Source organism: Homo sapiens, chromosome 19 (assembly GCF_000001405.40).
Source record: "Homo sapiens chromosome 19, GRCh38.p14 Primary Assembly".
Taxonomy (NCBI): Eukaryota; Metazoa; Chordata; class Mammalia; order Primates; family Hominidae; genus Homo; species Homo sapiens.
Window position 1 is genome coordinate 13,679,302 of NC_000019.10, and position 15,613 is coordinate 13,694,914.

General features: G+C 46.6%; 1 long non-coding RNA gene across 3 annotated transcripts in view; it reads right to left on the reverse strand.

The window, feature by feature from the left end:
* Positions 1-4,907: 4,907 nt before the first annotated feature.
* LOC105372284 (uncharacterized) overlaps positions 4,908-15,613 on the reverse strand; it is a 40,186-nt gene continuing 29,480 nt past the window's right edge. For 2 of the 3 annotated variants that reach the window (XR_001754028.1, XR_936341.2), the window contains 3 exons: positions 8,836-8,956; positions 6,529-6,680; positions 4,908-4,965 (listed from right to left, as the gene is read on the reverse strand). This is a non-coding gene — a long non-coding RNA (uncharacterized LOC105372284). Of the gene's footprint in view, positions 4,966-5,223; positions 5,308-6,528; positions 6,681-8,835; positions 8,957-15,613 lie in introns of those variants that run through there. The other variant, XR_001754029.1, reaches the window with a different exon arrangement.

Genomic DNA, 15,613 nt, shown 5'->3' on the forward strand with positions numbered 1-15,613 from the left:
TTGCTGGGACCTTGTTCACATGGCCTTATATAGCTGCAAGAGAAGCTGGGAAATGTAGTCTCTAACTGGGCAACCATGTGCCCTGCTGATACTCAAGGGAGTTCTATTCCCAAAAGTAGGAAGAGGAGAGGGGTTTCTGGGACAGATGACAATGTCTGCCATGAGGGGACAGGAGATGAAAAAGAGGATGCCACAGTTAACTCACAATTATTTTTAAGAAATAGTAATAATAGCTACCACTTATGTACAATGTACCAGGCACTATTCTAAGCATTTGTATCAACTCCTTTAATCCTCAGCTCTCTGAGGTAGTTACTATTATTAATCCCATTTTGTAAACGAGAAAAAGACATAAATAATGTGACACATGTCTAATAAGTGGTATAACTAGAGCGTTAAAACTCTTTAGTCAAAGCCTTAAGAAAATTCATTTTCAAACAGTGACTTTGGTCAATGCAGTAGCTCGCACCTGTAATCCCAGCTGCTCAGGAGGCTGAGGTGGGAGGATCACTTGAGGTCAGGAATTTAAAACCATCCTGGGCAACATAGCTAGACCCCATCTCTAAAAATAATCTTAAAAATTAGCTGGGCATGGGGGCTTGCACCTGTTAGTCCTAGCTACTCAGTAGGCTGAGGCAGGAGGATTACTTTAGTGCAGGAGTTTGATGCTGCAATGAGTTATGATCATGTCACTGCACTCCAGCCTGGGCAATGGACCAAGACCTCATCTCTTAAAAAAAAAAAAGTGATTTTGCATTCACCTATAAAGTAATTATTTGAGGGAATGCAAAGAACGTTTTTAGGACTATGAAAAAGAAAGCTAGCAAAGCAACTGATTTCTAGTTTAGTGCAAGGAAGGCAAACCATTTACTGAATAGAGAAAAAAATATTCTCTCTAGTTTATCTCTAAAAGTAAATGCTTTGAGAACATAATCTATTTGCCCTTGGGATGAAGTCAGAGCAATTTCAATCTCAGGATCCAATCTTTCTGCCAAATATGGTCTCTGTTACTAACCCTCTTGACTAGAAATCTTTGGGAGCCAAAGAATATTCCTTTCCTTTCCCTAATATACAGATGCTGAGAGCAAACGTCTGTCTCCTGGGAATCCTGGCAGGAAAAAATCTAAGATTTTTTTTTTTTTTTTTTTTTTGCCACCAAGCTACTTTGGGAATTAAGATCATTAAAGACTAATAGCAGCTGCTACGTACTTAGCAAATGGAGCTAATCAGACTTCCACAAGTGGGGAAGTATCTAAATACACCACTGCTGCTAAATCCCAGTCTTGACTGTGGTGATATCCATTCCCCTCCTGACCAGGTAATTAGAAAGAACTGGATAATCACTTTAGCAAAATAGCAGATGCAGTGATATATCACACCTGTCCACAAGCTGTGTGGCAGGATAAAAGGTGAAAAGTGCCTCTGAGCTGAGAAATATCACAGTAAAAATGATGCATCATAGAAGCTGAAATTCACAGAGCCAGCCCCTGTAAGAAGTACCTGACACAGGAGCAGTGGAGACTCACAGAGTGGGTATGTTGCAGACCCACCAGGTTTGTATGCCTGCTGTGCAGTAACATACCAATCAACCAAGACAGCAGGGTTTGCAGCAGAGAAAGAGTTTAGTGCTCACAGGGCATCTGAGTGAGGAGAAAAGAGGAACCCCCAAATCTGTCTCCCCAAGGAGTTCTGAGCTGGGGTTTTAAGAGGATCATGGAGGGCAAGGACTGGAAAATTGAGTCTGATTGGTTGGGGTAAGGAGGATGAAATCATCAAGATATGGAAACTGCATTCTTTGGTAAGTCAGCTCTTTGTGGGGTCCTTCAGACCAGCTGACATCAGTAGTTTCACCGGCCGGGCACGGTGGCTCACACCTGTAATCCCAGTACTTTGAGAGGCCAAGGCAGGCGGATCACCTGAGGTCGGGAGTTCGAGACCAGCCTGACCAACATGGAGAAACCCCATCTCTACTAAAAATACAAAATTAGCTAGGTGTGGTGGTGCATACCTGTAGTTCCAGCTACTCAGGAGGCTGAGGCAGGAGAATCGCTTGAACCCAGGAGGCGGAGGTTGCAGTGAGCCGAGATCACGCCATTGCACTCCAGGCAGGGCAACAAGAACAAAACTCCATCTCAAAAAAAAAAAAAAGAGGTAGTAGTTTCACTGATATTCAGGGTCTGAAAGAACATCTCAAATGGAAAACTTAATGCCTCACAATGCTTAGGATGACATCTATAGAGCAGTTAAGGGAAACTATAATCTTGTAACAGGGTCTACCTGATTCTGATGCAATAGGAAGCAAACAGCTATAAGGAAGCAGGCCAGAGAGCAAGCTGACTTAATGATTAATGCTGAATGTGCTGCAAGCTTGGCTTATTTTCACTTCTCCCCCTCCCTTTCTCCCTGATTAATTTCATAAAGTTTATAGGACGATTTCAGGCACAGGGATGCCTGATTGGAAACTACGTCTCCCAGCCTCTCTTGGGGCTGGGTGTAGCCAGATGAGTAAGGTCTTGCTGATGCAGGGCAGGTTCTTGGCTTTGCTCAAGAAGGAATTCAAGAGTGAGCCGGTGGTTGGAGAAAGCAGCTTTACTGAGGTAGCAGCAGTGTTACAGCTCTGTGACTACTCCTGCTCCCCACAGGCATTGCACCAAGAGTAGTAGTGATCTGCGGTCATATTTATACCCAATTTTTTTTTTTTTTGAGATGGAGTCTCACTCTGTCGCCCAGGCTGGAGTGCAGTGGTGAGATCTTGGCTCACTGCAAGCTCCATCTCCCAGGTTCATGCCATTCTCCTGCCTCAATCTCCCGAGTAGCTGGGACTACAGGCGCCTGCAACCACGCCCGGCTAATTTTTTGTATTTTTAGTAGAGACGGGGTTTCACCGTGTTAGCCAGGACGGTCTCGATCTTCTGACCTCATGATTCACCCGCATCAGCCTCCCAAAGTGTTGGGATTACAGGCGTGAGCCACCGCGCCTGACCTATACCCACTTTCAATACATGTTAGTTAAAAGCCAGATTATTCAGAAATAGCTAGAAAATGGGCGGTAACTTTGGGTGTTGCCATGGCAAGGGGTGGTAGTTTGGGGCGTTGCTATGGCAATGGTAAACTCTCATGGTGCTGGTGGGGGTGTCTTATGGTGATGGGCAACGAAGAGGTGCTTTTGGTGCCTTTAATCTGGGCCAGAGATGAGTCCTGCCTGCCTCCTTTCTTATTGCCAGTGGAATGTGAGCCAAAGTGATGAGTTGCTTGCCCAAGTACTGGAACATAGATGTGCCTGAGACCCAGTGTCAACCTATTAAATGAGGACAATACCCTAAGTAATGACCTAGCAGCAAGATGAGAGGAAGCAGGATCCCAAATGACTGTGTGTAAAACAGCTCTTCCCTGCCAACCTGGACTGCTCATGGCCAAATATTGTGTGAAAGAGGGGTAATCATCTGTCCTCCACAAGCCACTGTGTCTGGGAGTCCTTTTGGGGTTTTTTTGTTTGTTTGCTTGTTTTGTTTTGTTTTGAGACAGAGTCTCGCTCTGTTTCCTAGGCTGGAGTGCAGCGGCATGATCTCAGCTCACTGCAACCTCTGCCTCCCAGGCTCAAGCGATTCTCCTGCCTCAGCCTCCCGAGTAGCTGAGATTACAGGCCTGCGCCACCACGCCCAGCTAATTTTTGTATTTTTAGTAGAGACAAGGTTTCACCATGTTGGCCAGGCTGGTCTCGAACTCCTGACCTCAGGTGATCCACCCTCCTCAGCCTCCCAAAGTACTGGGATTCCAGGCGTGAGCCACCGCGCCCAGGTTTGTTATAGCTTCTTAACCTTTGCCCTAACACAGTAGACTAGTTCATTTAATCTTCACAACAACCCAGGGAACTGGTTACTATTATTATTCCCATTTCACAAATAAGGGAACTGAGACTCAGAGAAAGTTAAATATTTCACCCACCATCCCAAAATCAACAAATGATGCAAACAGAAGTGGAAGCCAAGTTTCAAGCCCATGGAGAAGGTTCTGATTCAGTAGGTCCTAGACAGAGGCTGAAATTCTGCATTTCTAGAAAGCTCCCAGCTGAGGCTGGGAGGTCCATGGATTATAATTTGAGGAGCAAGGATTTAAACCACTCCCCTCCCTTGTCTCCCCTAAGAGTTAGAAACTGACTGTCCAAGCCTGAGCAGTGTAGTGAGACCTCATCTCAACAAATTTTTTTTAATTAGCTGGGCATGATGGTGCACTCCTGTAATCTCAGCTACTTAGGAGGCTGAGGTGGGAGGATCACTTGAGCCCAGGAGGTCAAGGCTGCAGTGAGCCATGATTGTAACACTGCACTCCAGCCTAGCTAACAGAGTGAGACCCTACCTCAAAACAAAAAATAAAAAAAAGAAAGAAACTGGCTGGGCGCGGTAGCTCACGCCTGTAATCCCAGCACTTTGGGAGGCCGAGGCGGGTGGATCACCTGAGGTCAGGAGTTTGAGACCAGCCTGGCCAACATGGCAAAACCCATCTCTACTAAAAATACAAAAAGTATCTGGGCGTGGTCGTGCACACCTGTAGTCCCAGCTACTCGGGAGGCTGAGGCAGGAGTACTGCTTGAACCTGGGAGGCGGCAGTTGCTGTAAGCCAAGATCATTCCATTGCACTCCAGCCTGGGTGACAGAGTGAGACTCCGTCTCAGAAAAAAAAGAAACTGTCCAGATTCCCAAGTTCTAGTCTCAGGTATCTAAATGACAACCAATAATAGCTTCCTAAAAATGTTTTGCCCTTTCTGTACTGTTCCCTTCTCCTGGAAATTAGTTGAATTCATATATTCAGTTTTCTTAATAGGCAAATTCTCTTTCAAGCTTTGAATTTCTCCTAGGCAGGTGTCACGCTTCCAAGGAGCAGTTACCATGAAATTGTGAAATATGATGCCACTTTCTGGAGATCTTGTGACAGCTGTCTCACCCTCTATCTTTTCTTACTCTGGCTCTGTAACCCAAAATAACATTCAATGAGGCTTCTTGGGAAAGGTGACATGTCATTCTGTGCTGTTTCAACAGGAAACATTGACTACAATAAGAAACACCCTCAGCCTGGAGAGATATTATAATCAACAGCAAAAAACCATTTCAGCACCCAAAACACTTGGGAAATGTATCCTTGTTGCAAACCCAACTTCAGCCTGAAAAATCATCGCATTCTAAAAGTAAACCAAAGGCTGGTTCCGGTGGCTCATACCTGTAATCCCAGCACTTTGGGAGGCCAAGGCAGGAAGATCACTTGAGGCCAGGAGTTTGAGACAACCCTAGGCAACACAGGAAGATCCCATCTCTGAAGAAAAAAAAAAAGAAAGAAAGAAAAATTAAGGCTGGGCGCGGTTGCCCATGCCTGTAATCTCAGCACTTGGGAGGCCGAGGCAGGCAGATCACTTGAGGCCAGGAATTCGAGACCAGCCTGGCCAACATGGGGAAACCCTGTCTCTACTAAAAATACAAAATTAGCCGGCATGGTGGTGTGCACCTGTAGCTTCAGCTACTCTGGAGGCTGAGGAAGAATCACTTGAGCCTGAGAAGTGGAGGTTGCAATGAGCTGAGATTGTGCCACTGCACTCCAGCCTGGGTGACAGAGTGAGACTGCCTCAAAAAAAAAAAAAATTAAAACAATTAGCATGGTGGCATGTGCCTGTAGTCCTAACTATTCAAGACAAGAGGATTGCTGGAGCCCAGGAGTTCAAAGTTACAGTGGGCTACGATCAAGCCACTGCACTCCAGCCTGGGCTGCAGAACAAGACCCTGTCTCAAAAAAAAAAAAAAAAAAAAAAGGAAGGAGCCAGGGGAGCTTATTGGTGACTCTGAGATGTCCAAGGATAAATCTGGCTTCAAACATGGCTAGATCCAGGGCTGCCAAAGATAATATTAGGACTCACGCTCTCTCTCCATCTGTCAGTTCTGCCACCCACAGGATCTCCCCCTCTCCCGTAACCACCATGAGAGCTATGGTGGATAGGATCGCATTTTTTATTTATTTATTTATGAGACAGAGTCTCGCTCTGTCCCCCAGGCTGGAGTGCAGTGGTGCTATCTCGGCTCACTGCAACCTCCGCCTCCCGGATTTAAGCGATTCTCCTGCCTCAGCCTCCCGAGTAGCTGGGATTACAGGCACCCACCATCAATCCTGGCTAATTTTTGTATTTTTAGTAGAGACGGGGTTTCACCATGTTGGCCAGTCTGGTCTCGAACTCCTGACCTCAGGTGATCCACCCGCCTTGGCCTCCCAAAGTGCTGGGATTACAGGTGTGAGCCACCACGCCTGGCCAGATTGCATTTTCAGAAATGCAGTACCTCTGCACTCTGCATGTGACTGTGCCCTCCCACCGTGGGTAGAGTATATTTCCCCACCACACTGATACTGGGGTTGGTCATGTGACTTCCTCTGGCATATGGGATGTCAGCAGATGTGAACAACAGATGTAAATGTGCCCGCAGGGCTTAGCTGAGCTCTTTCACTCAAGTATTCTGCCAGGAGAAGAGCATGCCCCAGGGAATTGCTTACCCTTATCCTGAGAATTATCAAATGTGGAGCAGAGTAAACCCAACCTTGGATTTGGCACCGACAGAACCCAACCAATCCAACAGCCTGAAGCAGAGTCATTTATCCAAGTCTTGAATGGAGGATCAGCTAAGCCAAACTGGACCTTTAGAACCCTGAGCATAAGAATAAAGGCTTATTGTGAGGAAGCAAGTCTGAGTTTTGGGTGGTTTGTTACATGGCATTATTATAGTAACAGCTGTAATCCCAGCATTTTGGGAGGCCAAGGCAGGAAGATTACTCGAGGCCAGGAGTTTGAGACAACCCTAGGCAACACAGGAAGACTCCATCTCTGCAAAAATAAAAATAAAAAAAAATTAAGCCCGGGCGGCCCATGCCTGTAATCCCAGCACTTGGGAGGCTGAGGCAGGGCGGGTCACTTGAGGCCAGGAATTCCAGACCAGCCTGGCCAACACGGGGAAACCCTGTCTCTACTAAAAATACAAAAATTAGCCGGCATGGTGGTGTGCACCTGCAGTCTCAGCTACTCCAGAGGCTGAGGCAGAAGAATTGAGATTGTGCCACTGCACTCCAGCCTGGGAGACAGAGAGAGACTGTCTCAAAAAAAAAAAAAAATTAAAACAATTAGCCTGGCATGGTGGCATGTGCCTGTAGTCCTAACTGAGTCATTATCCACACACCACTCAACATTCACTCGCAAGAGCGTCATTCATCACTTGCACCCAGAACCAACACCAGCAAAAGAAATAAAATCTCATACAAAAATGCACCTAAAGGGCCGGGCACGGTGGCTCATGTCTGTAATCCCAGCACTTTGGGAGGCTGAGGCAGACGGATCGCCTGAGGTTGGGAGTTCGAAACCAGCCTGACCAACATGGAGAAACCCTGTCTCTACTGAAAATACAAAATTAGCCGGGTGCAGTGGCACATGCCTGTAATCCCAGCTACTTGCGAGGCTGAGGCAGGAGAATTGCTTGAACCCAGGAGGCAGAGGTTGTGGTGAGCCGAGATAGTGCCATTGCACTCCAGCCTGGGCAACAAGAGTGAAACTCCGTCTCAAAAAAAAAAAAAAAAAAAGAAAAATAAGAAAAGAAAATGCACCTAAAAGCCGGGTGTGGTGGCACATGCCTGTAGTCCCAGCTACTCAGGAGGCTGAGGCAGGAGGATTGCTTGAGCCCAGGAGGTTGAGGCTGCAGTGAGCCACGTTCATGCCACTGCACTCCAGCCTGGGGAACAGAATGAGACCCTGTCTCAAAAAAAAATTATTATCCTACTATTGATAGATATTTGAGTTTCAAGTTTTGGCTAAAAAGCCTGCTGTAAACATTCTTCTACATGTGTTTTGGTGCATATAACCACCTATTTCTATTGACATATACCTAGCTGTAGAATTGCTAGATTATATGATAAATGTATATTCAGCTTTAGTGGAACCTTCCAGTTTTCCAAAGTGGCTGTACTCCTATCAGTAATGTATGAGCATCCCTTCCCGTCACTCCACATCTTCACTCAAACTTAGTATTTGTTGTCAGTCCATTTATTTATTTATTTATTTTGAGACAGAGTTTCACTCTTGTCACCCAGGCTGGAGTACAGTGGTGCGATCTCAGCTCACTGCAACCTCCATCTCCTTGGTTCAAGCAATTCTCATGCCTCAGCCTCCCCAGTAGCTGGGATTACAGGTGCGCATCACCACGGCTGGCTAATTTTTGTATTTTTAGTAGAGACGAGGTTTCACCATGTTGGCCAGGCGGGTCTCGAACTCCTGACCTCAGGTGATCCTCCCATCTCGGCCTCCCAAAGTGCTGGGATTACAAGCGTGAGCCACCAGGCCTGGCCTGGTCAGTCCTTTTAATATTAGCCATTCTGATGGAGTTATAGTTAATTTGTATTTCTCTACTCTGCAAGGGTGTTAAGTACCTTATTGTATATTGGTCACTTTTTCTTCTTTGCTTTTTTTTTGAGATGGACCCTTGCTTTGTCATCCAGGCTGGAGTGCAGTGGTGCAATCTCAGCTCACTGAAACTTCCATCTCCCAGGTTCACGCGATTCTTGTGCCTCAGCCTCCCAAGTAGCTGGGATTACAGGCGTGCGCCACCACACCCAGCTAAATTTTGTATTTTTCATAGAGACAGAGTTTTGCCATGTTGGCCACACTGGTCTCGAATTCCTGACCTCAAGTGATCTGCCTGCCTTGACCTCCCAAAGTGCTGGGATTACAGGCATGAGCCACCGTGCCCAGCCTCACTTTTTCATCTTTGTTTTGTGAAGTGCCTGTTTAAGTCTTCACCCACTTTCTTATTCACTCACCTGGCTTATTGATTTGTGAGGGTTCTTTATATATTCCGAATATGAGTCCTTTGAGACAAGACATAATGCAAATGTCTTCTCCCAGTTTGTGGCTTGACTTTTCACTCTCTTCACGGGATCTCTGATGAATAAAAGTTCTTAATTTTAATAAAGTCTAATTAATCAGTATTTTACTTTATGATTAGTGCTTTTTGGGATCTGATTCGGCTTATCCAAGCCAAATAATATGTCTTCTCCTTGAAATTCACAAAAGCGCACCCAAATGTTAGGTGTTTTTATTAGCAAAATTTCAAAAATGTTGATTTATTACTTTTTACTCAAAAAAAGCGAAGACATTTTTCTGTTATTATTTCTTTGTAATAAAAGACTATATAAGAGTCTACAATTCTTATTGTCTGTTTGTTTGTTTGTTTTTGAGACAGAGTTTTGCTCTATTACCCAGGCTGCAGTGCAGTGGCATTATCTCAGCTCACTGCAACCCCCGCCTCCTGGGTTCAAGCGATTCTCCTGCCTCAGCCTCCTGAGTAGCTGGGATTACAGGTACATGCCACCACATCTGGCTAATTTTTTTATATTTTTAGTAGAGACAGGGTTTCACCATGTTGGCCAGGCTGGTCTCAAACTCCTGACCTCAGGTGATGCACCCACCTCAGCCTCACAAAGTGCTGGGATTACAGGTGTGAGCCACCATGCCCCGCCTGTTTGTTTTTTTTGAAATGATCTCACTCTGTCACCAAGGCTGGAGGGGAGTGGTGCCATCATAGCTCACTGCAGCCTCAACCTCCCAGGCTCAAGCAATCTTCCCAACTCAGCCACCTGAGCAGCTGGGACTACAGGCAGACACTACTATGCCTAGCTAATTTTTTTTTATTTTTTGTACATACAGGGTCTCACTATGTTGCCTAGGCTGAACTTCTGGGCTCATGCAATTCTCCCACCTCAGCCTCCCAAAGTGTTAGAATTACAGGCCTGAGCCACCGCACCCAGCCTACAACTCTTATAGCAATGTTGCCTTCAAAGGCAGTTTGGGCCACGTGCCATTTTTGCCTCTGTCCCTGCCTTCTTAACCTACACCCTGTAGAAGGTGCAACTCCACTGTAAGAACAACTGCAGCTCCTCAAATATCCCATGTGCTGCCTACATTTCCCAGTATCCCTTGCGCTTTGATTAGCATCATGTGATTAGTTTTGGCCAATGGGCTGTGAGCATAAATGATGCATGCCATTTCCAGACTGAGGCAGTGAAAAACTGGCATTCCTCCTCTCTCCCTCTTCCCCCTGCCCAATAACCTTGGAAACCATATGTTCTAGATGGGAGAAGAGGGCTGGCCAACCTATCTCAGACTGTGTATGAGTGAGAAATAAGCCTTTGTTTTATTAAGCCACTAGATTTCAGGACTTAACTATTGCAGCAGCTGGCATTCCTTAGTCTAACTAATACCCAAGGAGAATCAGAACAGCCATTAATAGGAACTACCAAAACTCTGCAAGTTGAATGCATGTCCTGACAGTTCCTTTGTCCTCAGCTCAGTACTGAGGTTATCTTTGGCAAAGTTCTCCATCACTGATTTTCTTAGGTCAGATTCTCCCAAAAGCAGTCCCTGAGACAAGGATCTGGGTGCAAATAATTTATTAAGAAGTGTTCCCTTCTCAGCAAACTATCGCAAGGACAGAAAACCAAACACCGCCTGTTCTCACTCATAGGTGGGAATTGAACAATGAGAACACTTGGACACAGGAAGGGGAACATCACACACCAAGACCTGTCATGGGGTAGGGGGAGGGGGGAGGGATAGCATTAGGAGATATACCTAACGTAAATGATGAGTTAATGGGTGCAGCACACCAACATGGCACATGTATACATATGTAACAAACCTGCACGTTGTGCACATGTACCTTAGAACTTAAAGTATAATAATAAAAATAAAAAATAAAAAAAAAAGAAGTGTTCCTAGCTGGGCGCGGTGGCTTACACCTGTAATCCTAGCACTTTGGGAGGCTAAGGCGGGTGGATCACCTGAGGTCAGGAGTTCAAGACCAGCCTGGCCAACACGGCGAAACCTCGTATCTACTAAAAATACAAAAATTAGCCGGGTGTGGTGGTGGGTGCCTGTAATCCCAGCTACTTGGGAGGCTGAGGCAGGAGAATCACTTGAACCCATAAGGCGGAGGTTGCAGTGAGCCAAGATCACACCACTGCACTCCAGCCTGAGCGACAGAGTGAGATGTGGTCTCAAAAAACAAAAAAAAAGAAAAAAGAAGTATTCCCAGGGTAATCAATAAGGGGATGGTGGGGAAAGCAGGACAGGGAAAACAAAGAAGCAAAACAAACATTCAATACCAAGTGAAGTTTCACACCCAGACTGTTCCAGCCAGGGACCCCTGGAGCGCAAACTATACCCCAAAGCTGGTCCCACCTAGAGACAAAGGAGAAGGGCTTTGGACCCTGTATTCATCAGCTTGGGCTGCTACAACAAAATGCCACAGACTTAGTGACTTAAGAGAAATTTATCCTCTCACAGTTTTGGAGGCTGAGAAGTTCAAGTTCAAGGTGCCAGCAAAGTCAATGTCTGCAGAGGGCTCTCCCCTTGGGCTATAGACAACTACCTTCTCATGTGTCCCCACATGGCCTTTCTCTCATGCATGAAGAGAGAGACAGAAACAGAAGTAACTCTCTGGTGTCTCTCTCTCTCTATTTTTGTTTGTTTGTTTGTTGTTTGTCTGTTTTGAGACAGAGTCTCACTCTGTCGCCCAGGCTGGAGTGCAATGGCGCAATCTCGGCTCACTGCAACCTCTGCCTCCCAAGTTCAAGTGATTCTCCTGCCTCCGCCTCCCAAGTAGCTGGGATTACAAGCATGCATCACCGCGCCTGGCTAATTTTTGTATTTTTAGTGGAGATGGGGTTTCACCATCTTGGCCAGGCTGGTCTCAAACTCCCGACCTCAAATGATCCACCCTCCTCGGCCCCTCAAAGTGCTGGGATTACAGTCATGAGCCACTGTACCCGGCCTCTCTCTCTCTTTTTAAGAGACAGGGTCTTGCCCTATTGCCCAAGCTGGAGTGCAGTGGTAGAATCATAGCTCACTGCAGCCTTTAATTCCTGGGCTCAAAGAATTCTCCCACCTCAGCGTCTCCAGTAGCTATGATTACAGATGTACACTACCACACCTGGCTAATTATTTTTTCATGTATTTTTGTAGAGATGGTCTCACTATGTTGCCTAGGCTGGTCTCAAACTCCTGGGCTCAAGCAATCCTTCCACCTCAGCCTCCCAAAGCACTGGGATTACATATGCCAGCCACCGCACCTTGGTCTGCTGCCTCTTTTTATAAGGATGCTAATCCTATTGGATCAGGGCCCCACCCTGAATACTTCATTTAACTTAATTGCCTCCTAAAAGTCTTATCTCTGAATACAGTCACATTGTGGGGCACAGGGATTTGGAGGGCACACAAACATTTAGTCCATAACTGACCCCTAAACCTATTGATGATTGGCTGCCAGGGAAGGTTGAGCAAGGTAGGCTCCAAGGCACTCTGGCCCTCCATATGGGCAGGGCAGCTCCAGGGCCCAAGAACAACCTCTGAAGGTCACAGGTGTGAGCAGGTAGCATGTAAGCATTAAGAAACCAGGGGATGGATGCACTGAGGTGGGGTGAGGTCCGGGTGTGGCTGCCCACACTGCCTGCTACTCTGATGCTGTATCAGCAAGAAACAGCTTATACATTTCTGTTGTAATGGGGGAAGCAAACTTTAATCATACATCTGCAGATTTCTCTCACTCTACGCCAGCCTGCAGATGTCTTCTGCTAGAGTTAAAAATTTCCACGGAATTATCTCCAATCTCCTCTCACAGCCTGGTAATTTGGCCAAAAGAAATCCCAGATGTTTCAAAGAATCCCTAATAGTGACTGTAGGGCTTTGATTTCTCCTCATCCAGTTGGTCCCAGGGCACTGCCAAGCCCTGGTTGGTGTCCTTGTCAAATTGCTCCGAGAGTGAGCAAAAAAACGGAGAAACTTGTGCCCAAAACCCAATCAAGCATTTGTCTTAAAAGCACACTCGCCTTGAAAGCCAGCCAACTTCTGTGAAATAGAAAAGAATCCATTTTCTGCTTCTATTTCTTGGCCCTTGAACAGGCAGTGACTCAAGACTCAAGTCAGTGGTTGGTGCAGCTGCAATGAGACATCCGTCAGTGAGCTGGCATCTCTGACAATGGCGTGTGCCCACAGAGAGGCTGTGACTCAGGAGGGCAGGTGGCACTCCATGATCCCCCAAAGCAGCCAAGCCAGGTGGGGTGCCAAGCATCCCAGGTGCTCCTGAGCTGGAAGACCGACAGTTTTCTACCAGTTGAAGTCGTGTTTGGCAAAGAAACCGTTCAGCCCTTTAACAGATATTGACAGCCTGCTAGTTTCCAAAATGGGGTCAAAAGATGGAGATTCTCCTTTGATGGTGTCAGCGGGTGCATAATGGATGTGTGGATGTTCTTTGTGCTCAGAAACGTCTGCCGTTCCATCCAGTTGCATGCTGAAGGGAGGTGGGGAGCTGCCAACTCCTCCACGACCCATTTCAAAGTATTAAAAGAATTGTTAGCAATTCCAGGTTGCTGGTGAAAACATCTCCTTGGTTTTCTTTCCCCCACTTCAAATCACAAACCAACCCAACCATTTCTAGAATACACAGCTCTACTGGGGTCCTATTCCATGTGCTATAGGAGACTGCAAAACAAAGTCTTTTTTCTTTTTTTTTTTTTTTTTTTTTGAGACAGGTTCTCACTCCGTCCCCTACGCAGGAGTGCAATGGTGCAAACATAGCTCACTGCAGCCTCAACCTCCTGGGCTCAAGTAATCCTCATACCTCAGTCTCCTGAGTAAGACAAAATTTTACTGGGGCAATTTCAACTCTTCGTAAGGTTTTACCTTTTGAACTTGTGCTTTCCTTTTTTTTTTAAGATGGAGTTTCACTCTTGTGTCGCCCAGGCTGGAGTGCAGTGGCACAATCTCGCCTCACTGAAACCTCCGCCTCCCTGCTTCAAGTGATTCTCCTGCCTCAGCCTCCTGAGTAGCTGGGATTACAGGCGGCTGCCACCATGCCAGGCTAATTTTCGTATTTTTAGTAGAGATGGGGTTCCACCATGTTGGCCAGGCTGGTCTCCAACTCCTGACCTCAGACGATCCATCCGCCTCAACCTCCCAAAGTGCTGGGATACAGGCATGAGCCACCATGCCCAGCCTTAAGCCACCGTGCCCAGCCTGCTGTCTTTATTATTATTATTTAGAGACAAGGTCCCACTCTGTTGCTCAGGCTACAGTGCAGTGGCACAATCATAGCTCATCGTAACCTCAAACTGCTGGGCTCAAGTGATCCTCCCACCTCAGCCTCCAGAGGAGCTGGGACTACAAGCACACACTACCTCACTGGGCTCATTTATTTTTTATTTTTTAGAGATAGGGTCTTGCTTGTTGCCCAGGCTGGTCTTGGACTCCTGACCTCAAGCAATCCCCCTGCCTTGGCCTCTAAAAGTGCTGGGATTACAGGCATGAGCCACTGCACCCGGCTTAAGTTATACTTTCTACACACACACACACACACACACACACACACAAATAATCATGTTCGAGTTGCATAGACTTAAGAAGCTCAATCTACTTACCTACTTTGAGAATGTCTTAATTTGAATTCCCCCAGGAGCCAAGCCTGCGACAAGGATTTGAGGATAAGTAGACTATTTAGGAAATAGCCCCTAGGAAGCATCGGTAGAGAATAAGCAAGAAAGAGGGGAAGAGAAGGCAGCTAGCAAAGGATACATCCTTAGTGAGTTACTGCTGTGGGCAATAAGGGCTTAATCCCCTGGGAAATGGGAGGTGGAAATCCACCTGACAGTTATCCCACTGGAGGGGCAAGGGAGCTGGAGGATGGATCCGTGACCTCTGTCAGTCATTAGCAGGAAGACGGCACCTGGGGGACTTAGATTCCCCAGCACTTCTGGCTGTCACAGTGAAGACAAAACAGACCCTGGCTGCAAGAGAAAGCCCCCAGGGAAAGAAAGGCAGGTGCTCAGAGCAGGTCTTGGGAGCCGGAAATGAAGCTAATGTTTGCTAAAGTGATGAGGGTGAGGGAATAGGTGTGACCTTGAGTTGCTGGGGATGAAAATCTTGCTACATGAGCAGTACTAGGCTTTTGTGACCCAACAATAGAGAAATAGAAACCAAAAGACTCCATGGATCAGGTAGAGTTAACTTACAGAGAAAAAAAGCCTTTTTTTTTTTTTGAGACAGAGTTTCGCTCTTGTTGCCCAGGCTGGAGTGCAGTGGTGGGATCTCAGCTCACTGCAACCTCCGCCTCCCGGGTTCAAGCGATTCTCCTGCCTCAGCCTCCTAAGTAGCTGGGATTACAGGTGCCTGCCACCACGCCCGGTAATTTTTTGTATTTTTAGTAGAGATGGGGTTTCACCATGTTGGCCAGGCTGGTCTCAAACTCCTGACCTCAGGTCATCCACCCGCCTCGGCCTCCCAAAGTGCTGGGATTACAGGCTTAAGCCACCGTGCCTGGCCTAAAAAAGCCTGTTTAAAAATGTTTTAGGCTGGGCACGGTGGCTCAGGCCTGTAATCCCAGCATTTTGGGAGGCTGAGGTGGGTGGATCACCTGAGGTCAGGAGTTTAAGACCAGCCTGGCCAACATGGTGAAACCCAGTTTCTACTAAAAATACAAAAATTAGCCAGGTGTGGTGGTGCGTGCCTATAGTCCCAGCTACTCAGGAGGCTGAGTCAGGAGAATTG